At 36.4% G+C, this 26,399-nt stretch overlaps 1 long non-coding RNA gene across 1 annotated transcript in view; it reads left to right on the top strand.

The window, feature by feature from the left end:
* The first annotated feature begins 5,902 nt into the window (after positions 1-5,902).
* LOC105370300 (uncharacterized) overlaps positions 5,903-26,399 on the top strand; it is a 90,882-nt gene continuing 70,385 nt past the window's right edge. The window contains exons 1-2 of the long non-coding RNA XR_931621.3: positions 5,903-6,165; positions 8,460-8,557. This is a non-coding gene — a long non-coding RNA (uncharacterized LOC105370300). The remainder of the gene's footprint in view (positions 6,166-8,459; positions 8,558-26,399) is intronic.

Raw genomic sequence — 26,399 nt, forward strand, 5'->3', positions numbered from 1 at the left:
GGTCTGAACCTCATCATTTTAAAAGAAACCCACTTCAGAGAAAAAAGCATTAATTCACTCGTGAGAGAAGAGCCCTTATGGCTTAATCACCTCTTAAAGATCTTACCTCTTTATACTATTACAATTATGATTAAGTTTCTACCGCCTGCTTTTTGGAGGACACATACAAAATATAGCATTTCCTTTATTCCAAACCTATAATAAATTCAGAAAGAAACAATAGTATTTATCATCTATCCAATTCTCCAGAATTTGTCCCTCAACTTCCTTATCTGTAATGACTTACATTTACACTCCTTTATTTCAGTAATTCTGTGGTAGACCCATTCGGATTGGGCTGTGTGTCAACCTTGCCTCCACTACTTGCCAAATGTGCAAATTTCTAAAGTACACTGTAAATCAGTTTCCTTAGCTATAATGCTGAGGATGATAAAATAATAGCATTAAGTTTATGTTCATATAATGAACTTCTATTCAACCATTTCATATAAATGATCCCTAGAATTTTATTCTTATTTCATCCACTGGTTCTACACAATTTAAATGACTTCACATTGCCCAAAGAATAACATAGGAACTTGTTGATTTGGGTATGTGAAATAATTCTTACTTTGTCCTTGCTTACCTTTCTTAACTCTTACTATGTCACACTTTTTCATTTATCGTATACAGTGGCTACACTAAAAAACTTTACGAAGTTCTTCTACATCTCTATTCAATATACAACTAAAATGTTCATTTATCCTAAGAAACTCATTTTTTACATACAAGCTAAAGTGTAATTTAGGCAAAATGTTAGTAAATGTGAGAACTTCCACACTAAAGATCTACCATACATTTAGTTTTTTTTTTATTATTTTGAAACATTTATTCTTACAGAAAACTAGACAAATTACAAATGCCCGGCTTGCTGAATTATCACAAACATCTGTGTAACCACAAATCCAGCCAAAATGTGGACTCATCCATACTTGGACATATTAAATACCCATTTTTCTGCTCTTACCTCAAGTCTATTATACTAACCCAAGTTAATTAGCTTTTGAAATAGCTGATATATTTATATATAGTTTTTTTCCACCTCTAAAATTTGCAGTTCAGTTATGATCCCCATTCATTTTTAAAATTCCTATTATACTTACAAATAACTTTCCCAGATATTTTCCCAAATGCTTTTTCATGCTTTGGAGGGAAGTATTATCACATAATATAGATAAAAATTAAAAGCAAACAAAAAAAACCATGTTGTTATATTTGCTCAGTCACCTTGATTTGCATCTTTGTGATTAGTTTTAAATCCCTTTAGCACAGACAATCAAGAGTGCTTAGTTGGCTTTTGAAAAAATCAGGAATTTTTTCCCCTGTCAATGGCAACAAAGATGTTGGCATACCACATCCTAGCTATATATTTTGGTGTGTGACTGAACTAGGAGGTAAACTGAACGCAACTAGTTTTATTGCACAAGTCCTGTTAGATCTGCCAAAAGGTCAGAGACCTAGTTTTCATCAAGCTTATAAATCAAGTTCTGTAGTTATTTCCTTAATTGTTCACTAATTAATATTCCTATGTGTGGCAGAATTCAGCCTGAAATTCATTTTCATTGTATCATATTGTGTTATAGCATGCTTATGGGAATGAAGCTGAGATTATGAATTTAAAATATACATTACACGTGAGTAACTCAACTGTCCTAGGTCATTTCATAGCAGCCTATAAGGCAAATCTTTATTTTCTTTAATATTGCATATTTCTACGCCTCCTCTCCCATCCTGCCTTGATTTACTCCTTTTACCAGGAATTTCTTTCATTTTAAAGATCTCGCCTAATTGACCAACATCCAGGACTTTTTTGATATCCAATTAAATTTCATCCTGCTTCCAATACTCAGAAGAGAGAAAACTTGGGATCTAATCAATTTGGTACCGCTGCTACTTCCCAGGGACTTGAGTTAGCAAGTTTGCCGGCTGCCCCTGACTTTTGTGATGACTATTCATCCCCTACTGATGAGTGACTTCTGCTTGGTCCAAATCACTTCTGAGTACATTGGCTTGTATAAGCACAGCAGCTCATACACATTCAACAATTATTCTTACATTTCTCCAAAACTCTACGATCACCCTTAGCCATATGATTTGCTGAAGCCAGCCTTCCTCCATTAAATTTAGTTTATTGTATTGATCATGAATGAGAGTCCAGAAGCTTTCATAGTGCTTGATGTTTTCATGATGTGTTCTTGTTATGTGTGTACTTTCCTCCACCACCTTATTCCTTTGGAGGAGTCTTGAAAATGTGAACAATAGAGTGGAAGGAGTGAAAGTATCACGCCCTTTCCTCCCAGGAGGCTACTTGGTCAGCATGCAGACTTTCCCTCTCTTTTCTTTGTGACAGCTCTGCAGCAAGAAGGTTTTGTAAGAAGCTGCCTTTGTCAAGACACAATAGGTCCTTTTTTTACCCTGACCGTGTATAAATGTGCTTCCTGGCATAATATTTGCATGAATAAAAGGGAATAATCATATGACTTCTTAGCAGAACAAAGATGATGTGCTCCAAGGTGACTTTCTGTTTCTAGACACAGAAGACAAAGAAAAGCCCAGCATAAAATTTTGTCTTCTGACACTTCATAGTTCATGTCTATTCTTTCCCATCTAAAATCATCTTGCATGTTTGAATGGTTCATTTTCCTTCAAATTACTATTTAAATAAATAGATATAAATACTAAAACACAAATGTCAGTGATCTATTTTTATCACAGTTCTTACCTAAATGCTACAATAATGAAGTACTGAACTTTTTTCTATGTATCAAGTTTTACATATATATAATAACATATATATACATATATACACAATATATATATAGCAAAATTAAGAATTTTGAAGGACAGCAATTTACTTAACTAGGTAACACTGAAAAGAACATTGATTATGTATTATAAATTTCAAACATTTACAGTATTCAGTATTTCCATTCATATTAATATGCACATAGACACCCAAATATACCTGCATAAACAGATTATCCAGCTGAAAAATTTTAACACTTTTTACAGAAAGATTTGACTGTGCATTCATTTTCCTGCTTACATTGAAATGCCATTATTCAGCAGCCTTTTTATTGTCTTATTACTTACGGAGAGAAAACAAATTAGGGACCCATTGTCTGTCATGCTTCAAAACTCTGAATATTCTGAGTTTTCAATCGTTAGTTAACTCTACAGACTAATATTTTCATTCCTGAGCAATCTCTGCACTTTTCGTTGTCCACTTTCAAAAGCAGAGCCTGATCCATTCTAGGATTGCTCCTGGATATGTCTGTCACTTTCCTGGCTGAAATTTAGTTTCTATCTATTTTTTATCTCTGGCTACAGTTCTTTCCAAAGAAACTTTCCTGGAGCTAATTTTCGCTTTCTGTTGCATCCCATACACATCAATGTATCTGGGTGAATATCATCCATAGAACAAATAGATACCTTGTTTCTGATTGTCTCAGGGTTATAGAGGCATTTCTAATTGTCACAATTCAGGTGCTTTACAATGTGTTATTTCTGGATTCCAATAATGAACATAAGTCATGGCTTGCCTATAATGTCTTTAGTTTACTTGTGTTATTCCTAGGTTTTTCCTGGTTCAGAATTTATATCAAAATGTTAGCTGTCTAATTGTGAAATGTTATTCAAAGTTACAGTAATGTAAGCCATGGTGGTTTTGCATTGTATTTCCAATTTTTCCTATGCCCTTGTCTAGTAAGGTGTAAGATGCATGTTCAGTGAACACATGGCTAAATTTTAAAACCATCAGTAATTCTTCCCTCTTTTCTTGGATAGATTCTGGCTCAAGGTAACTCTTTTGGTCAGCTCGGTGTGCAACAAAAAATGCCATAGATTGGAAGCTTAGAAAATCAGAAATTTATCTATCATACTTCTGGTGGCCGGGAAGTCCAAGACTAAGTAACTGGTAGATTAAATGTCTGATGAGGACCAACTCCCTAGATGGCCATCTCTTCTCTGTATCTTCACATGTTGGAAGGTGCAAGGGAGCTGTTTGGAGTCTCTTTTCTAAGGGCACTAATTCTATTCATTAAGTCTCAACCCCCATGACTTTATCTAAACTTGATTACCTTCAAAATCCCACTTCTTAATATCATCACATTGAGCAATAACGTTTCAACATAAGAATTTCGGTAGGACACAAGCACTCAGTCCATAAGAGTAATTAAAAATTACATTTCAAGGGTACTTGTTCACTGATAAGATGAAGCATTCTTTTGTAAAAATAGTGAAATTCAGTAACACCATCCAGCATAATGGGAGACGTATTAAAATATTGTGGTCATTAAAGGTCCCTTGTTAAACTAACCAGAAGTCAGGCTTAAAATCCGTGAAACCAGTAAAAAATGTAGAAACTTAAACTTTAAATGTAAGTAAATATAATGATCAATAAAAATGTCTTTCACCATTTGTAAAGGAAAAAGATAACATGTCCCTACTTAATACCCACCTAAGTGTGACTAAACATTAAGCAGGTTTGTTCCTGACTCTAGGCCCCTGACCACTTTTTCTTACAGCATTTAATTTAGAAAATTCTCAATGGTAAATTATTTCTCTTCCTTTTGAGATATAATCTTTTTCCAGCCTTTTGCCAGTTATGTAACTCAGGAATGTGTTTCTCAAGGACCTGGGAAAAATTTCTTTGCAATGCAATTATCAAGAAATTAGTACCCCATCTTCTTAGTCTCTGTGAGACAGTATAAGTCTAACTTCTATAAGTACCAATAAGCAAACACACTTGGCCTAATTACATTGACCAATCTCTCCTCTAATATCCTCCAGTAATTTTCCACTACCTCACCTCAGCACTCAATAACTCTTCCACCTTTTGTTTTGTGGCATTGAATTCAATCTCTTCCCCCAAACCTTATTGCAATAGTCTTGATCTCTATTGCAATAGTCCTACATAAAGTTTTTCTTGCCTGTTTAATACAATCAGGTACATTTTTTTAATCCACTTCCCTCTTTAAAAAAATTGTTTCCTTGAAGACATACTGAGTTAGAGTCCTTACTATAACCTGTGAAATAGAGATAAATCTCGCCAAGGATTAAGCTAGATATTCCAGGTTTTACAATGAAGCAATAGCTCCAAGTCGGCAGACTCAAAACCTCCAGCTATGTGAAAATGTATCACTAAAAGTGGCCCAGTGATATCTCACAACATGTAAAGGAAATTGTTAGGAGGTCTAATTCTTTAAGTTATTCTTTCTTCTGTTTGCTGTATAAAATGTGTAAGATTTTATCCTTAGTGTTACCTTTTGTGATCAATTACATTCATATAAATCTATTAAAGTTTACTGTGGTCAAAGGATAATGGAATTTCCTTAAAGTCCAAGCCCTAATACCCTGAACCTGTAAATATGTGCGTAGTAAAAAGGAATTTGCAGATGCATTTAAGTCAAGAATTTTAGGATGGGGAGTGTTTTAGTCCCTCTGCATTGCTATTAAGGAATACCTGAGAATAGGTAATTTATAAAAAAAGAGGCTTATTTTGGCTTACGGTTCTGCAGGCTCTACAGGAGGTGTGGTGCTGGCATCTATTCCTCGTTAGGGTCCTCAGGAATCCTACAATCATGGCGGAAGATGAAGGAGGACCAGGTGTATGACATGGTAATGAGAGGTGACAGCCTGCCGGCAGCCCTCACAGCCCTCGCTCACTCTCAGCGCTTCCTTCGCCTCTGCGCCCACTCTGGCAGCGCTTGCGGCGCCCTTCAGCCCGCCGCTGCGCTGTGGGGCCCCTCTCTGGGGGCTGGCTGAGGCCAGAGCTGGCTCCCTCTGCTGGCGGGAGGTGTGGAGGGAGAGGCGCCGGCGGTAACCAGGGCTGCGTGCGGCGCTCGCGGTCCAGCGCGAGTTCCGGTTGGGGGTGGGCTCGTCGGGCCCCACACTCCGAGCGGCCGGCCGGTGCCCGCGCAGTGAGGGGCTTAGCACCTGGGCGAGCAGCTGCAGAGGGGGCGCCAGGTCCCCCAGCACTGCCGGCCCGCCGTAGCCACGCTCGAATTCTTGCCAGCCTCAGCCGCCTTCTCGCGGGGCAGGTCTCAGGACCTGCAGCCCGCCAAGCCCGAGCCCCGCTGAGGTGGCCTCCTCCACGCGGCGCCCGGTCCCATCTACCGCCCAAGGGTGAGGAGTGCACGCGGGGAAGGGTGGGGCGGTGGGGGCGGGACTGGCGGGCAGCTCCACCCATGGCCCTGGCAGGGACCCGCTATGCGAAGCCAGCTGGGCTCCTGAGTCCGGTGGGGACTTGGAGAACTTTTATGTCTAGCTTAAGGTTTGTAAACACACCAATCAGCACTCCATGTGTCTAGCTCAAGGTTTGTAAACACACCCATCATCACCCTGTGTCTAGCTCAAGGTTTGTAAATGCACCAATCACTGCTTTGTGTCTAGTTAATCTAGTGGGGACTTGGGGACCTTTTGTGTCTAGCTTGGGGATTGCAAATGCACCAATCAGCACCCTGCCAAAATGGGCCAATCAGCTCTCTGTAAAACAGACCAATCAGTTCTCTGTAAAATGGACCAATCAGCAGGATGTGGGTGCGGCCAGATAAGGGAATAAAAGGTGCCCAAGCTAGCATTGGCAACCTGCTAGGGTCCACTTCCACAGTATGGAAGTTTTGTTCTTTCACTCTTTGCGATAAATCTTGCTGCTGCTGACTTTTTGGGTCCCCATTGCCTTTATGAGCTGTAGCACTCACAGCGAAAGTCTGCAGCTTCACTCCCGAGGCCAGCGAGATCACGAACCCACTGGGAGGAATGAACAACTCCCAACGGGAAGAATGAACGACTCCAGAAACGCTGCTTTAAGAGCTATAACACTCACCACGAGCGTCTGCGGCTTCATTCTTGAAGTCAGTGAGACAAAGAACCCACTAATTTCAGACACAGTAAGACAGGAAGCAGGAGAGAAAGAGGTGAGGAAGTTCTAGGCGCTTGTAAACAAGCAGATCTCATGTGAACCCATGGAGTGAGGCTCATTTGTTACTGCGAGGATGGTAGGAAGCCATTCATGAGGGACCTGACCCCATACCCAAACACTTTCCACTAGGCCTCACCTCCAACAGTGGAGATCATATGTCAACATGAGATTTGAAGAGGACAAACATTTAAACTGTATGAGGGAGAGTATGCTGAATCATCCAGGTGAGCCTAATGTAATCACAAACATCCTTCTAAGGAGAAGAGAGGCAAGATATTTAGAGTTGAAGGAATTAGTGACAAAAGCTGAGGTCTAGGTCTGTCAGTTCAGGAATGCGAACTCCTTTTGGAAATGGAAGAAAAACAATAAAGCAGATATTTCCAAAAACTGTACAGAAGGTACACAGCCCTGCCAACATCTTGGTTTTAGGACTTCCAATATCCAAATCATTAAGTAAGTAAATTTATACAGTTTAAACCTCAGTTTGGGCCGGGCGCGGTGGCTCACGCCTGTAATCCCAGCACTTTGGGAGGTCGAGGCGGGCGGATCACGAGGTCAGGAGATAGAGACCATCCTGGCTAACACGGTGAAACCCCGTCTCTACTAAAAACACAAAAAATTAGCCAGGCGTGGTGGTGGGCGCCTGTAGTCCGAGCTACTCAGGAGGCTGAGGCAGGAGAATGGCGTGAACCCGGCAGGCGGAGCTTGCAGTGAACCAAGATCGCGCCATGGCACTCCAGCGTGGGTGACAGAGTGAAACTTCGTCTCAAAAAAAAAAAAAAAAAAAAAACAAACAAACAAAAAAAACCACAGTTTGGAGTAATTTCTTACAGGAATAGGAAACTAACATAATTATCCAATAATAAATTGTGTTCTTTTTCTCTTCTGTATTGATACAAAGGATTCTTTCTATTGGTAGCACTATTTTATTTTTATAACAGTACAGAAAATAGAAGCTGGATAATTATATGATGAATATAAAGAATAGCCAGGGCTCACATCTGTAATTCCCAGCACTTTGGGAGGATGAGGCGGGCAGATCTCTTGAGCTAAGGAGTTTGACACCAGCCTGGGCAACATGGCGAAACCCCGTCTCTACAAAAAACTTAGCTGGGCATGGTGGCACACGCCTGTATTTCTAGCTACTCAGGAGGCTGAGGTGGGAGGCTCACCTGAGCCCAGGAGACAGAGGTTTCTGTGAACTGAGATCACACCATTGCACACCAGCCTTGGCAATAGAGTAAGACCCTGTCTCAGGGAAAAACAGAGAAATAGACTGAAAGCTCCTGTGAGGGTGATTCATCACTTCTTCAGTAAATCAAATCTGAAGTTTCTAGTGTATTTTCTTAGTTGATGCATTTTTTAAAATTCTGTAGTAAATCCCGTTGCTAGACGAAGAGCTAACAAAAGATAGTGCTTTTAAATGAAATGTGTGCACTATTTTAATAAGAATGTTCATGATGAGCATGTCACTCCATAAAATATTTTTTGACAACAGCTGTCTACCATGGCAGATGGAGGTGGTGAAGATATCACTGAACTCATGAAACCATAGGAATCAAGTCTTCTGAAGTAGCACCATTATCAACTTCCACAGTGAGTATATATTCTAAAAACACAGTGATATTACATGTGCAGCTGCAGAAAACCATTCATATATTATCTTGATGATTATTTTGATCAAATGACTTTTCATCTAAATTAATTATAATAATTTTTATCAAAGTTTTCATGTGCACATAGAAGAGTGAATTGATATTTGTGAATGCATGAGTTGAACTGGCAGAAGAAAATATTTGCAAACAGTTAAAAGCTGAAAATTTTATACCAATATCATCTAATGCATTAAGTAGAAAATCAGCTAACTGCAAAAAATGATTCAAGTGTTTTCATTCAATTTAGGAACTCAAAGTAATGTTTTGAAAGTACATTTCAATAAGGTAGATTACATGACATTTTAAAGTATGTTATGATAAATCCAGTGAAAATTACATCAGTAATATTATATTTTTTCTTGATAAAATGCATTGTGAATTTGGTAAAGCAAATGTCATTGTGGAAACAACATTTTCATAAGGCCAGAATTACCGTGCAATAAGTTGTAATAATTTAATCCAAACAAACTTTAATAGACTACCAGTTAAGAAGAAGCTGAAGTTATTAAATTTACACACACATACATGTCACATCACAACTTTTTAAAAATATGAGACTGATGCCAATGCTAAATATACAAAATTACTCCAGTATGACAATATTTACTTTCTATTTCTGCTGCCCATTGTAAATTTGAATGTATAAACTTTTGAAGAAATGATTATCTATAATGCTATTCAACACTTTTATTAATAGAGCTGATAAAATTGTTTTTATTTACTTGCATTTTGTCCCAAATTGACAAATAAATCTCCAGAATATTCAACTCTTGGAAGCTTTCTAGTGAATTGCAGTTATTCAAAACAAACATGCAAACAAGAAGCGATTGTAGTTTATCCCACAAAAGCAAGACAAATCTAAACAAATTTAGTGATGGGAAATTATTTAATTTGAAAATTATCTAATTGAACTTTAGAATATATGGACATGTGGGGAAAATCCATTTATTTCCTTAGGTCTTTAAGTGGATAAATTGATAATCCTTTACTGAATAAATTGAAAATGATAAAGTCAGCAATTTTGAATCATCTACATTTTGCAATATACTCTAAAATTTATAAATAATGATAATTTACTTGATAAATTTTGTCATATAAAAACTATTTGCCAAATAAAGATTCTCGGAATCAGGGAGGGAAAACCCCCCAAAAAACTTGTATTTGTGAAAGTATTTGCACTGCAGTATTTATAGATCTCAATTAAAAATGGAATTGAGTAATTCTTGTTTTTAATCGAATTTATTCTGAGCATATAAAGTACCACTCTTTATTTAGAAAAATATTTTTTTCAAAAAAATATTATTTTCTACAAAAAAGGTTAATTAAACTTTTAACTCTTTCAAAAATTTTAACCATAAAAATAAATGATATAGAAACCTTTTGGCAATTATTTAAAAATTAATCAGAATTAGATCAGTTTGAAATGTAATTTGCTTTTAAAGAAAATGCTCTGAATATTAGAAACAGCTAGGCTCATTAACTCATTAGAGAATGGAAATATATAGTAATAAATTACTTTTTAGGTTATCTTTTAATATTCAGATGGACAACATACTTTAGTCAGTCAATAAAACTTATCAAATGTGTTCATTTTATTACACCTTTTCAATCTAAAACAATTTCTGGTTTTGAAATTAAATATATTATCACTTCAATCACATCTTTGTCTTATTTGCATAAAGTAGGAGAGTGCAAGAGGTCTTGGCTCATATTACAAAATAGATGATTTTCCAGAAAGGGGTACAATTTATCACCTAGGACCACTCCCTTCCTTGACCCTTAGAATCTACCCTACTCTGTTTTTCCTGACTTCACAGATGATCTCCTGATCTCCCTTCATATTTACTTATTTCTGATAAAGATTATGTGAATCTGTGCATATACTTTTTTATATATTTCCCCCCATACAATATGTTTAATTTCTCTATTTTTTTAATGTGTGCACGTGCACATGTTTATGAATCTTTTGGTCGAATGGAGGTGGAGATTGTGGGCATGGCTTACAAATAAACAGTCATGTTGAATGGTCATTGTTGTGCTGTATTTAAAAAATTAGTAGAGAATCCATATCATAGTGAAAGTGAGTTTTTCCTTCATGTATTTATCTTGGTCTTTTTCGCAAGCATACTTCCTTTACTTCTAGCGTCTGGTTTCTCCATTCATTTCTATCCCTTCTGCAATGCTTCAAATACCTCCAGATGTTTCATTAGAGGTATAAACACAGTATGCAGAATATAGGAGATAAATTCTCATTAATTATAACTAGCCCTTTTTATTTCGTATATAAAGAAATGTCATTTTAATTTAAATGTATTAAATGCAATTCTAAAAAAAAAAGTGCTTAGTGACGATAGAGTAAAAAATACAGCCTCGAAGTTAGTCAAAAAGATTTTACAAGTATGTAGTACAATTTAAAAATTAAGTTGAATTAAATGATATCTCGGCAACTTGAAGCATTGCAAAGAATGGTTATAATATTTGACGTATTAACACATAATTATGAAAAGATTATGATTGTTACAATTCATAATTATTTTTGATGAGAATTATTGTATTTTATATCTACTATGGCTTTTAGTGTTGTAATCTTGAGAAAAAAAATTTAGACTGAATTACATTTTGCAAGAAAATATAAAATATACTCACAAACCTATACCACAGAAAAATAATTTAGACAGAATATTGACTAACATTTAAAAATCTTATACTACTCTTAAAAATGTGCATAGATCTCATAATGGCTCGTTCTTGAATTTTGCCAAATAATAATGTAGGTAAAATCGGACTTTAGTAAATTATTTCTTATAAAATATATTTCAATATAGTAGTCATGTATTTGTGCTAATATGGAATTTCAAAAGAGTGAAAAGCTTTTAAAAAAAACCTAAAAGCTATTTTTTATACTTCCACTCTTCCCTAATTTGTTTTTAATGCCAAAAATGATTTTAGATAGCCTAAGCTAAATGTTATCAGCGTTTATGTACAGAGCAATCTTCTTTCCCGTTTATATGAGTTTGAAATGCAGTAGAGAAAGAAGGAGGAAGCAGTACTTCGAGTACATAGGGCCACAAAAAAAAATCACAATCATGCAGGAAAAAAAAAATAATCAAAGTAATGATGCCGTCCAGTCTCTATCTTTCAAGTCTCCAGTTTCTCTCTGAATTTCAGACTGTGAGACCATTCTGTCTTTCAGCTGAGCAATTACTCTGTCAGGGGGTATGTTCACCTAGGGTCAAGCCCTGCTGTGTGCATAGAGAAAAATCCCTGTAGAGATTCTTCTTTCAAAAAGTTTTACTCTACTTTTTGAATAAAAAAAAAAACTGACAGTTATCTCAAGAGGATTTTCAGAGGAAAATATTTGACCTATATTGCTTGAAAAATGTCACTTGAGGAAAAGAAATTAAAAAGTTATACTTCTCCAGGGTCTTTTTGAGCCCAAATATCTCACATTTTTGTGGATTGTTAGAGTCACCTAGAATTCCTTTGAGGTTGTATGGACATTTGTCTTCCAGATTAAGACAGAGAAAATTCATGCAATATTTGTTGTTCTGTAACTGGTTTATTTTACCTAGCATAATGTCCTCCAGGTCTATTCATGTTGTCACATACTGCAGAATTTCTTTCTGTTTTATGGCTGAGTAGTATTTCATTGTATGTGTAGACCACATTTTCTTTCCCCTTTTATGAATGAATGTTTAGGTTATTTCCACATCTTGGCTAGTGTGAATAACTCTGCAATGGACATGGGAGTGTAGCTATCTCTTCAAGATCCTTACTTCAGTTCTTTTGGATAAATACCCAGACATGAAATTACTGGATCATATGGTATATCTATTTTTAACTTTTTGAGGAATGTGCATGCTGCTATTAGTGGCTGCATCATTTTGCATTGTTGGGCAAGCTTTTCAATTGGTCTGAAATGTATTGTTTCTTATGTATGAAATAAAATTAACAGACTCACCTACAGGATTATAGTAAGAATTAGATGAAACAATGCAATTTCCTAAACTTCTAGATATTAAAATAGTTAATTACGTAGACTCAGAATAGAATGGTGGTTGCCAGGAATGGGAAAGAGGGGAAATGAGTAGTTACTAATCAAGGAGCATAGTTATGAATGAAGGAGCAAAATGAATATAATCTGGAGTTCTGCTGCACAATATTGTACCCATATTCAACAATAATGCTTTACGCACTTAAAATTTGTTAAGAAGGTATATTTCATGTTAAGTGTTTTTATGACAATAAATTTTAAAAGTTAACTTACATTTAATAAAATGCACACATTTTAAACTTAACAAAAGAAGATTTAAAAAATCCTGAAGAATTCGACTTAAAAAGTTTTAACTTTGAACAACAGCAAAAATACCTATGAGGTACTCAGAAATCTAGCATCAAAAATTAATGATTTTTTAAAAATAAAAGCACATTCTATGATATGGTTTGGCTGTGTCCCCACCCAAGTCTCATCTTGAAACGTAGCTCCCACAATTTACATGTGTTGTGGGAGGAACTTGGTGGGAGGTGATTAAATTATGAGGGTGGTTGTTTCCCATGCTGTTCTCATGAGATTGAATAAGTCTCACCAGATCTGATGGTTTTAAAAAGGAAAGTTTCCCTGCACAAAGTCTCTTCTCTGTCTGCCACCATGTGAGACATTCCTTTCACCTTCCACCATGATTGTGAGGCCTCTCTAGCCACAAGGAACTGTAAGTCCATTAAAATTTGTTTTCTTCCCAGTCTCGGGTACAGCTTTATCAGCAGCATGAAAATGGACTAATATAGTAAATTGTTACTAGGAGTGGTGTGTTGCTGAAAAGGTACCTGAAAATATGGAAGCAACTTTGGAACTGAGTAACAGGCAAAGGGTGGAACAGTTTGGAGGGCTCAGAAGAAGACAGGAAAATGTGGAAAAGTTTGGAACTTCCTAGAGACTTGTTGACTGGCTTTGACAAAAATGTTGATAGTGATATGAACAATAAGGTCCAGGCTGATGTGGTCTCTGAAGGAAATGAACTTGTTGGCAACTGGAGCAAAGGTGATTCTTGTTAGCTTTTAGCAAAGAGACTGGTGGCATTTTTCCTCTGACCTAGAGCTTTGTGGATACCAGATTCAGGGTATCTGGTGGAAGAAATTTCTAAGCAGCAAAGCATTCAAGAAATGACTTGGGTGCTGTTAAAAGCATTCAGTTTTAAAAGGGAAACAGAGCAAAACGTCTTGGAAAATATGCAGCCTGACAATGTGATAGAAAAGAAAATCCCATTTTCTGAGTAGAAATTCAAGCCAGCTGCAGAAATTTGCATAAGTAACAAGGAGCTATATGTTAGTCACCAAGACAATGGGGAAAATGTCTCCAGGGCACGTTAGAGGTCTTCATGGCAGCCCCTCTTATCACAGGCCTGGAGGCCTAGGAGGATAAAGTGGTTTTATGGGCCAGCCCCCAGGTCTCCATGCTATGTGCAGCCTAGAGACTTGGTGCCCTGCATCCCAGCTACTCCAGCCATGATGAAAGGGTCCAGTGTAGAGCTTGGGCATGGCTTCAGAAGGTGCAAACCCCAAGCCATGGCAGCATCCATGTGGTGGTGTTCCTGTGGTGCACAGAAGTCAAGAATTGAGGTTTGAGAACCTTCACCTAGATTTCAGAGGATGTATGGAGACACCAGGATGTCCAGGCAGAAGATTGTTGCAGGGGCGGTGCTCTCATGGAGAACCTCTGCTAGGGCAGTGCAGAAGGGTGATGTGGGTGGGAGCCCCCACACAGAGTCCTTACTGGGGCACTGCCTAGTGGAGCTGTGTGAAGAGGGTCACTTCCCTCCAGACTCCAGAATGGTAGATCCATTGACAGCTTGCACCATCTGCCTAGAAAAGCCACATGCTCAACTCCAGCCTGTGAAAGCTGCCAGGAGGGAGGCTGTACTCTGCAGAGCCACAGGGGCAGAGCTCCCCAAGACCATGGGAGCTCACCTCTTGCATCACTGTGGCCCAGATGTGAGGCATGTGGTCAAAGGAGATCATTTTGGAACTTTAAGATGTGACTGCCATGCTGGATTTCAGACTTGCATGGGGCCTATAGCCCCTTTGTTTTGGCCCATTTCTCCCATTTGGAACAGCTATATTTACCCAATACTTGTACCCCCATTGTATCTAGAAAGTGACTAACTTTCTTTTGAGTTTATAGGCTCATAGTTGGAAGGGACTTGTCTTGTCCCAGATGAGACTTTGGACTCTGGACTTTTTAGTTAATGGTGAAATAAGTTAAGACTTTAGAGGACTGTTGGAAAAGCATGATTGGTTTTGAAATGTGAAGACATGAGATTTGGGAGAAGTTAGGGGTGGAATGATGTTGTTTGGCTGTGTCCCCACCAAAATGTCATTTTGATTGTAACTCCTATAATTCCCAAGTGTCATGGGAGGAACCTAGTGGGAGGTGCTTGAATTATGGGAGCAGGTCTTTCCTGTGCTGTGCTCATGAGAGTGAATAAGTCTCACCAGATATGATGGCCTTGTTTTGTTTTGTTTTGTTTTGTTTTGTTCTGAGACAGAGTCTCACTCTGTCACCCAGGCTGGAATGCAGTGGCATGATCTTGGCTCACTGCAACCTCTGCCTCCTGGGTTCAAGTAATTCCCTTGCCTCAGCCTCCTGAGTAGCTGGGATTGAAGGCATGCACCACCACACCTGGCTAATTTTAGTATTTTTAGCAGAGATGGGGTTTCACCATGTTGGTCAGGTTGGTCTCGATCTCCTGACCTCATGATCCACCCACCTTGGCCTCCCAAAGTGCTGGGATTACAGGTGTGAGCCAATGCACCTGGCCCAGATCTGATGGTTTTAAAAAGGGAGAGTTTCCCTGCACAAGCTCTCTTCTCTTCTCTGCTACTGTGTGAGATGTGCCTTTCACCTTCCGCCATGATTGTGAGGCCTCCACATCCACAAGGAACTGTGAGTCCATTAAAGCTTGTTTTCTTCCCACTCTTGGGTATGTCTTTATCAGCAGCAAGAAAACGGACTAATACACTATATAATTGCATGCTACTTTTTTTATTTACAAATCTTTTGGCAATACAAATTTGTACAGGCCCTGTATTAGTCTGTTCTCACACTGCTATAAAGACATACCTGAGACTGGTTAATTTAAAGACAAGAGATTTAATTGACTCGCAGACTCATAGTTCTGCACAGCTGGGGATACCTCAGGAAACTTACAATCATGGCAGAAGGTGAAAGGGAAGCAGGCACATCTTTCCGTGGTCAAATAAGGGTGAGGGGTGCTACACACTTTCAAACAATCAATCTCATAAGAACTCTATCATGAGAATAGCAAGGGAGAAGTCTTCCCCTATGATTCAGTCACCTCCCACCTGGCCCCTCTTTCAACACTGAAGATTATAATTCAAAAAGAGATTTGTGTGGGAACACAGAGCCAAACCATATCATTCTGCCCCATCCCCTCCCAGATCGCATGTTTTTCTTATATCTCAAAACACACTCATGTTTTCCCAACAGTCCCTCAAAGTCTTAACTCATTTCTGCATTAACTCAAAAGTTCACAATCCAAAGTCTCATCTTGAACAACACAAGGCCCTTCTGCCTAAAAGCCTGTAAAATAAAAAAAAAAAAGTTAGTTACTTTCAAGTTACAATGAGGGTATAGTCATTTGGTATATGCTTGTATTCCAAAAGGGAGACATTGGCCAAAATAAGGGGCTACAGGCCCCATGCAAGTACGAAATCCAGCAGGTCTGTCATTAAATTCTGAAGCTCCAACACATAATCTCGTTTGACTTGATATCTCACATTCAGGCCACACTGATGCAAGAGGTGTGCTTTCACAGCCTTGGGCAGCTTTGCCCCTATTACTCTTCAGGACTCATCTCTCATGGCTGCTCACAAGAACTGGCACTGAGTACCTGTGGTTTTTTCAGGTACATGGTGGAGCCTGTCAGTGGAGCTACCATTCTGGGGTCTTGAGGACAGTGGCTGTCTCCTCAAAGGCCCACTAGACAATACCTCAGTGGGGACTCTGTGTGGGGGCTCCAACCCCATATTTCCCCTTTACACTGCCCTAGCAGAGGTTCTCCATGCAGGCTCTGCCCCTGCAGCAGACTTCTGACTGGATATCCCTGCATTTCCATACATCCTCTGAAATCTAGGTGAAGTCTCCCAAGCCTCAACTCTTGCCCTCTGCACAACTGCAGGCTTAACACCATGGGGAAGCCATCAAGGCTTGGGGCTTGCACCCTCTGAAGTAATGGCTCAAGCTGTATCTTGTCCCCTTTTAGGCATGGCTGGAGCTGAAGCAGCTGAGATGCCGGGCACCATGTCCCAAGGCAGCAAAGAACAGCAGGGCCCTGGGTCTGGTCCACACAACCATTTTTCCCTCCTAGGCCTCTAGGACTGTGATGGGAGGGGATGCTGCAAAGGTCTCTGAAATGCCTTGGAAGCATTTTCTCCATTGTCTTGGATATTAACATTTGGCTTCTCTTTATGCAAATTTCTGAAGTTGGCTTGAATTTCTCCTGATTTTTTTTTCTACCACATGGCAAGGCTGCAAATTTTCTAAATTTTATGCTCTGTTTCTCTTTTAAAGGTAAGTACTATTTGCTTATGCAAATGAGTGTAGCTTTTAGAAGCAGCCAGCTCACATCCTGAATGTTTTGCTGCTTAGAAATTTCTTCCATCACGTATCTTAAATCATCTCTCTCAAGTTCAAAGTTCAACAGGTTTCTATAGCAGGGGAACATTGCCACAAGTCTTGTTGCTAGAGCATAGCAAAAGTGACCCCTTCTCCATTCCCCAGTAAGTTCCTCATTTCCATTTAAGACATCCTTGGCCTCCACTTCACTGTCCATATAGCTATCAACATTTTGGTCACAATCATTCAACCAGTCTCTAGGAAGTTCCAGACTTTCCCTCATCTTCCTGTCTTCTTCTGAGCCCTCAAAACTATTTCACCTCTGGCCATTATTCAGTTCCAAAGCTGCTTCCACATTTTCAGGTATCTTTACAGCAATACCCTTCTGCTCTGGTACCAATCTTCTGTATTGGTCTGTTCTTATACTGCTGTAAAGACATACCTGTGACTGGGTAATTTATAAAGATAAGAGGTTGAATCAGCTCCTGTTCTGTGGGCTGTTCAGACTTCTGCTTTTGGGGTGGCCTCAGGAAACTTACAATCATGGTCAAAGTTGAAGAGGAAGAAGGTACATCATCACATGACCTGAGAAGGGGAGACAGAGAGAGAGAAGGAGGAGGTGGTACACAATTTCAAACAACCAGATCTTGTTAAAAACTCTATCATGAGAACAGCAAGGGGGAAATCCAATCCCGTGATTCAATTACCTCCCACGAAGACCCTCCTCCAATTCTGAGAATGAAAACTTGACATGATATTTGGGTGGGATAACAGAGCAAAACCATATCAGGCCCATTATAAATTTAAACAAGTAGTAGTATATATATATACACACACACTTTTTGACATGTTTTAGTACTGTCATCTGAAATAACAAGCAGTGGCTTATAAAGTTTATATATTTTTATAAATAAAAGTTTTAACTGATACATTTTCATCCTGTCAACAAAAGATCCAAAGGCTTTAAATTTATTAGTGGAGAAAATTGGAGATTACTTATTCTGGTCAGATTTGTTACTAGGAAAATCATCCTCCAGAAACACTGAGATATACTAGATAAAATAAAAACTTAACATACAGTAGGCTATACCATAGTCATGAATGTATAGGGATATTATTAATATCATTTCACTAAATTGTTCTATGTAATAAATGTGACACCAAAATCTAAACAATGTATGTAACAAACTGTCTAAAAAGTGTATATGAATAAAAAAGTCCTAATAGAACCAAGATATTTAAAGAGTTGTTTAAAATCTATGGCTTTCACAGTAAGACATTTACATTAATTATAAAACTATAATAATTAAAGCCATGTGTCATTGGCACAGGAAGAAATGCAGAAATGTATCTATATATAATTGGAAATTGGTATATCAATTCTTAGGTATGCTCCAAGTAATTTTATGTCACAATACTAGTGTTATTGCAGTAATTAAATCATAATTATGTAAACTCAACATGTAATTTAACAGAAGTCTTCTTCCTCACACTCAGCACTGCTCCACATTGAAAGCCTATAGTGAGAAAAAAATAAAAGGATATACTAGGCCATGTGCTTCTCCTTGTCTTCTCTTTGTCTAGGCCATTGAAAGCCTATAGTGAGAAAAATAGAAAGGATATACTAGGCTATGTGCTTCTCTTTGTCTTAACTACATAATCCCATTGTCTCTCTAGCCTAGGTTCAATATCATCCAACTAGGTAACAGTTGCAGGGAAGTAGGAAGTTTTATTGGTGAGTAGATTTGTAATCCCACAATGAAACCTTTTTGGATGTGTAGACTGACAACTGCTGACTTTTTGCTTTTGGTCACTTTTTGTGACTTGAGAATTTTTGGATGATGCAGGTAGTCTGAATTTGAAACACAAATGCATTTGTAGGCTAGTCTATGGTAACATATTCCTAGCCAAGAATTTGTTCCCTTCACTCAGCACTAGTTTTCCAGGAGACAGAATCTCTTTATAAGCCATATTGCAAGATGAATTCATATCTAATTCATCCTAATATGATTGTGTAGACTTTTGTGATCCATGTTTCCATGTGAAAGTTTTTATTTGACACTGAACTTTGGGCGAGATCTAGAATTGACTCTTTCTTCCATAATTTCTAGTGGTCTTCAAAAGAGAAACATATTCTTTAGTGTAAAGCAAATGTTTCAAAGGTAAAATGAAGGTTAGAACTACGTGTCCCCTCAGCATTCACAATCACATTTTTATTTTTATTTTGGCTTCTGAGAATCTTTACTTTTGGGCTCTAAGAATTTTTATGTATCTATTTGCCAGGTGTTTTCTCTCTCTCTCTGTCTTTCACTTTTCTTCCATCCCTCCCTTCTTCTCTTTTCCTGTCTTCATCGCTACATCTGTCATCAACCTACTACATTTTAATTATATTTAGTGACGATGTTTGTGATAAAATTAACAGGGTGATTCTAAATGATATGGAATTCTTTTGCTCTGTTGCCATAATACATTTTGGAATCAATCTAGATTCTAACAATAGATTCAGATAATAATTCATATTTGAACTTATTATTTATGAATATTCTAAAAGATATATGTGATAGGATAAATCAATGCTGGCTAAACACTATTTTAAATTCAACTCTTTTCTCTTTTTCTGTATAATTTCATCCACTCTTGAAGTAAGAAAATAACATGTTCATTTTTCATTTTCAAGAAATTTGAGTAAAATTACATAGAGACAGATTTGAATAAGAGTACATGTTCAATGTTTTGAGAAGTGCCACGTTTAAGTTAGCAAATGTTGGGAAAGGTAATTCTGAAAATCACAGTACTCTTATACACTTGGTTAGACTATTATAAAAGACTAGAACTCTCCTCCCACAAAATTATACTTCAGATTTTCTTTGTTCATGGCCTTAAAAACAACCGTGTAATCAGTGCCAGATTTTTCAAATCAGCCTATTTGTTACAAACTAGGCAAAGGGCAATTATTTATACTAGTAAATGGTTAAAAATGACTATTTCTATACTTAGTAATACTGATATCAAGTTCTACACCATCCCTAAATTTTAGTAATGTAGCCAACCTATAAGACTATCCTTAATCCCATGATACGAAGAGGTCTTGGAGAATGAATAACAAGTTTGTTTGTGAAAATTAAAATATGCTTCATTTGGTTTATTCAGGACAATAGGATGTGTGACAGATTAAATGATCTATATAGCCCCAAAACACTAAATTAGCTTGCAGCAATGTAGCCTGATTGCTCAGCATTGCTCAGATCCTTGACTCTGCTTTAAAGCTTAAAAACAAATTTCATTATCTACTCAATTATGGTGCAAACATTGCTGATCTGATGCCATGATAAACTAAACCTTGTTCATTAATATCTCATGGCTTGTCAAACATCACATTATAGTGTATAAGCACAATGAATTTCATGTCAACTCATTGCTCTCTTCATAGAAGGATTAAGAATGTGGACTAACTATATGAAAAGATAGCATTGTTGTCACAGATTTGGTGTGTTTTCTTATTCTTATGCTTTTGGGTTAGAAAGTAGAGAATGGTTAGATTTGGAGAATCAGAGAAAATGTCATCAACCAAGCTGCTTTGACTTTCTCCTGCTTTTGACTTTTTACCTCCCAACCTTTATCACGTAGGACTGTTTTTAATAATTTTATGTTGTTATTAGATTAATATTTTAATTTTATATTTCAAGCAAATTAAAAGAAACTCAGAGTTATTCAATTGGAATGAAAAGGCAAATTAAATGAGAAATTGATCATTCTTTTCATGATAGCAGAAGAAAGCAAAACTATGAAGATGGTGATCTATGATATTATAAGGTTTTCCTCTCTCTTTTTGCTTTAGGTAAGAATCCAGGCACAAAGTTCATGACTCATTTATCATTTTTTCTTATATGTGGCTGTTAATTTACTCTGGTACTATATTAACAAATGATAGTATCTAATGTTTATTTGTATTCTAAAAGTTTAAGAATTGAAAATTTTGATTCAATATAAAAATGAAGGAGAGCTTTTGAAACAACAGGCCCAATCAATAGTATTAAGTACACCCTCCCCATATATAACAAGGTAAAAGTCTGTGAATCAAAACATGAGTGGGTTTACACAGACTGAGAGAAAATCTTCACAATCTATACATCGGACAAAAAACAATATCCAGAATCTATAAAAAACTCAAATCAGCAAGGAAAAAAAAAAAAAACAATTCCATCAAAAAGTGGGCTAAGGACATGAATAGACCATTCTCAAAAGAAGATATACAAATGGCCAACAAGCATATGGAAAAATGCTCAAATTCACTAATTATCAGGGAAATGCAAACCCAAACCACAATGTGATACCACTTTATTCCTGCAAGAATGGCCATAATCAAAAAATCAAAAAACAATAGATGTTGGTGTGGATGCATTGAAATGGGAACACTTTTATACTGTTGGTGGGAATATAAACTAGGACAAACACTATGGAAAACAGTCTGGAGACTCCTTAAAGAACTAAAAGTAGACCTACAGTTTGATCCAGCAATCCCACTACTAGGTCTCTACCCAGAGGAAAAGAAGTCATTATACATAAAAGATACTTCCACACACATATTTATAGCAATACAATTTGCAATTGCAAAAATATGGAACCAGCCCAAATGCCCATTAATCAACAAGTAGATAAGAAAATGTGATAGATAGATAGATAGATAGAATGTGAATGCCATTATTTTGTTCCTTTTCATGGCTGAGTAGAGTGTGTGTATATACATATATATAAAATATATAATATTTTATATATAATGTATAATATATATTTTATAATAAAAATAAAATTATATATTTTACAATAAATATATATTTATATAATAAATATAAAAATATAATAAATATATTGTATATATTATATATAAATATTATATAGATATACACTGAGTAGTGCATTTATATCTATATCTATCTATATCTAAATCTATCTATCTAGCAACTTGGATGGAATTGGAGATTATTCTAAGTGAAGTAACTCAAGAATGGAAAACCAAACATTGCATGTTCTCACTCATATGTGGGAGCTAGGCTATGAGGATGCAAAAGAATAAGAATGATACATTGGAATTTGGGGGCTTGAGGGAAAGGGTAGGGAGTAGTATGGGATAAAACACTACACACTAAGTGCAATGTACACTGCTCGGGTGATGGGTGCACCAAAACCTCAGAAATCCCCACTAAAGAACTTATTCATGTAACCAAAAACCAACTGTTCCCCAAAAACCTATGAAAATAAATTAAAAAATTGAATAAAACAAAACAAAACGTGAGTGAGTTTAATTTTTAAAGCACCATGAACATCCTGCATATGGAAAGAGATTCCATTAGATGATTTCAATTATATTAACTTTTTAAATTTGTTCCATGTCGCTCTTCTTTTATTTATGTGAATTAAATTTTCTGGCTGAATCATTTTCCTTCTACCTGAATAACTGTTTTAACTTTTTTTTTTCTTTTTTGCAGAGCAAATTTGCTAGTGATGAATTACCCCAGTTTTTGTTTATATGAGAAAGCATTTATTTCTCCTTTATATTTAAAAGAATATTATACTAGGTATAGTAGTGTAGCATGGCATTTTGTTTTGTTTTCCTTGAACATTAAATATTTTGTTCTACTTCCTTCTTGCTTCCATGGTATCTGAACACAAGTCTACTGTAATACATATTTTTGTTTCTTTATAAATTTGTACATTCTTTCTTTCCTCTGGCTTCTTTCAGTATTTTCTCTTCATCTTTAATTTTCTGCAGTTTAAACATGCAATTTCCAAATGTGGGGTGTTAAGGTGTTTATTCTGCTTGGTATTCTCTGAGATTCTTATATCTGGTTTGGTTAACTATTATTAATATTGTAAGGTTCTCAGTCATTATTACTTCAAATATTTGTTTCTTGTCTATTCTCTTTTTCTTCTTGTATTCCAATTACATATGTGTTATGGATTTAGATATTGTTCAACAATATCTATTGATATTATGTTATATTCTGAATATTCTGTTCTATTTTTTCATATTTTTTTTCTTTTTGCATTTCAGTTATAATATTTCAATTGACTTATTTTCAGAGTCGATGATTCTTTCCTAGGTAGTGTCCAGTATACTGATCACCCCATGAATGCTAATTTGTATTTCCATTGTAAGATTTTTTATTTCTAGAGTTTCATTTTAGTACTTTCATACCTTATTCCTCTTTCTGAGTACATTCCCCATCTCTTCTTGCATGATATCTGCTTTTCACATCCATCACATTTATTTTAAATTTTTTGTCTAACATGACTAATAGCTATGCCTTTTGACCTGCCTTGCAATTTTTTTGTTGAAACCTAGATATGTCATATCAGGTAATAGAAACTGAGATAAAGAGACTTCCAGTGTGAGGACTTATGTTAATCTAAGTAGGAATGGAGCTGTTTTTGATGTTTGTTGTTGCTACAGGTATCAGATGCTACAATTCTTTCAGTGCCTTTGTTTTTGTCTTTCCTCTTGTTTGGGGGCTTTCCTGAGTAATTCTTCTTAGAGAGAGTCCACACTTTGCAAGACTTTCAGCTCTAATTCACTTTTATTGTAATGGAGCCCTACTGATGCGACAGTAGCATGTGCAGAAGGAGGATTATTCCATAATCTTCTGAATACATTTAATCCTTTGGCCAATCTATATCTTAAGACTATGGCTTTGGGAAGTGCTTTTATTCAGTGGTAAAGCACTTTCTTTTTCTTTTTCCCCCACTGCTTCTTAGTTTGACTTCAGTTTCCAAATATATTTTCTTGAACTCCTGTTCCAAACTGAATATATTCCCCCTTTCTCCTCCAAGTGAGACAGAAAAGCTGAGGAACTGGAGACAAAAGATATTTCTTTCACAGTTGTGTTCTGGTGAAGTCATTTCCCCGGAGAATAACACTTCATTATAGAGACAACTCTTTGAATGTTTCACAATGATACTCTTCTCTTCCTTTTTCCAGAGTGACAAAGGGATCTTTCTGGGCCCTTCACCATTAAAACCTGGTGGAGATTCTGGGGGTAAAGCTCATGAAAGTATGCAAACCCTCTAAGATTAAGCTTTCAGGAGTTTCTCACTCTCAACTCAGTGTACACCCAAACTTTTGTAGGTTGAAACTCAAACTCCATAAAATTTGTGAAATTATAATATAAATGCTTCTACCATTTTATGGCTTTAGTGACTTTTGCTACAGAGCTCCTGTTTATCTCCAGATGTGCTTGTCTCTTCAAACTTGGGGATGATGGTTTACTCTGTGACTTCAGTTCTGTCGTGGACCAGAAAAGTCATTGATTTTTCACATTGTCTATTTTTTCTTGTTGTAAGGACAAGAGTGATTGCTTCCAAACTTCTTACATGTCAGAAGTGAAACAGAAACATTGTTTTGTCTACTGTGATTACTAAACAAAACAAAAAACAGGAGCAGATAATTTGAATGCATTTGCTGCTAAATAAAAGCATGTATTTATCTTCTTGTGTCCTTACTCTCACTTGATTTTACAGATACTTTATAGATAAAATTAAGATAAATTTTATTGTTAAAATACATAGATCTGAATATTACAGGGAAAGTCTGAGTAGACCAGCACAGCTGCAACCCATACTTTTGTTTATATTAATTTTATGTGGAACAAACCAATTTTTATTACATTTTGAAACCCCAGAATAGCACTATGTTTATCAACTACAGCAACTGATTGACTCATTGGAGATTACTATACATATATATATATATATATATTTCTATGGAAACTAGTACCTAGGAAGTAAAGAAAATTAGCTAAAATATGCCTGTATTGTTCTGCTATTGAAGTAGAAATTTGAGTTGGAATAAATATGTTAAAAATGTGCCCTGATGAAGAATTATTTTAAAAAGATAGAATAAAAGTAAAGAGTGGTTTTTGGGAAATGACAAAAATTAATAAAAATATATTACCAACTGTAATTATTTCCAGATTATTATGACAGAAAAATATATGAGCCACTGCACCCGGCCATACCATTCTATATTTTTTTAAAAATCCATGTAAGATAATTAGTGATATTTTTCCAAAGTTTTAAAAAATCTTTATTATTTATTTTTTCTGAATTTTGGGGGGACATACTAGGTATAAATATTTATGGGGTACATGAAATATTTTGATTCAGGCAAACAATGTGAAATAAGCACATCATGGAGAATGGAATATGCATCCCCCCCAGCAATTATCCATTGAGTTGCAAACAACTCTATTACACTCTTTATTTTAAAATGTACAGTTAAATTATTATTGAATATAGTCACTCTGTTGTGCTATCAAATAGTAGGTCTTGTTTATTCATTTTTTTTTTTCGGTATCCATTAAACCTCCCCACCTTCCCACAACTCCCCATTACACTTTCCAGCCTCTAGTAACCACCCTTCTACTCTCTATGTCCATGAATTCAGTCGTTCTGATTTTTAGATCCCACAAATAAGTGAGAACATGCAGTATTTGTCTTTCTGTGCCTGGTTTATTTCACTTAAGCTAATGATCTCCAGTTCCACCCATGTTGGTGCCAATGAGTGAATCTCATTCTTTCTTATGGCTGAATAGTACACCATTGTGTATCTGTACCACATTGTCTTTATCCAGTCATCTGTTGATGGACACTGATGTTGCTTCCAAATCTTGGCGATTTTGAATGGTGCTGCAACAAACATGGTAGTTCAGATACCTCTTTGATATACTGATTTCCTTTATTTGGATATATACCAAGGGGTGGGATTGATGGATCATATGGTAGCTCAATTTTTAGTTATTTGAGAAACCACCATACTGTTCTTCATAGTGGCTTTACTAATTAATTTACATTCCCACCAACAGCTTACAAGTGTTCTCAATTTTCCACATCCTCACCAGCATTTGTTATTGCCTGTCTTTTGAATAGAAGCTGTTTCAGCTGGTGTGAGATGATATCTCATTGTAGTTTTGATTTGCATTTCTTTTATGATCAGTAACATTAAGGACCTTTTCATATGCTTGTTTTCCATTTGTATGTCTTCTTTTGAGAAATGTCTATTTTAATATTTTACTCATCTTTTGATTGCATCATTAAATTTTTTCCTATAGAGTTTTCTGAGATCTTTATATATTTGGTTATTAAGCAATAATTAATG

This window comes from Homo sapiens, chromosome 13, assembly GCF_000001405.40.
Source record: "Homo sapiens chromosome 13, GRCh38.p14 Primary Assembly".
Taxonomy (NCBI): domain Eukaryota; kingdom Metazoa; phylum Chordata; class Mammalia; order Primates; family Hominidae; genus Homo; species Homo sapiens.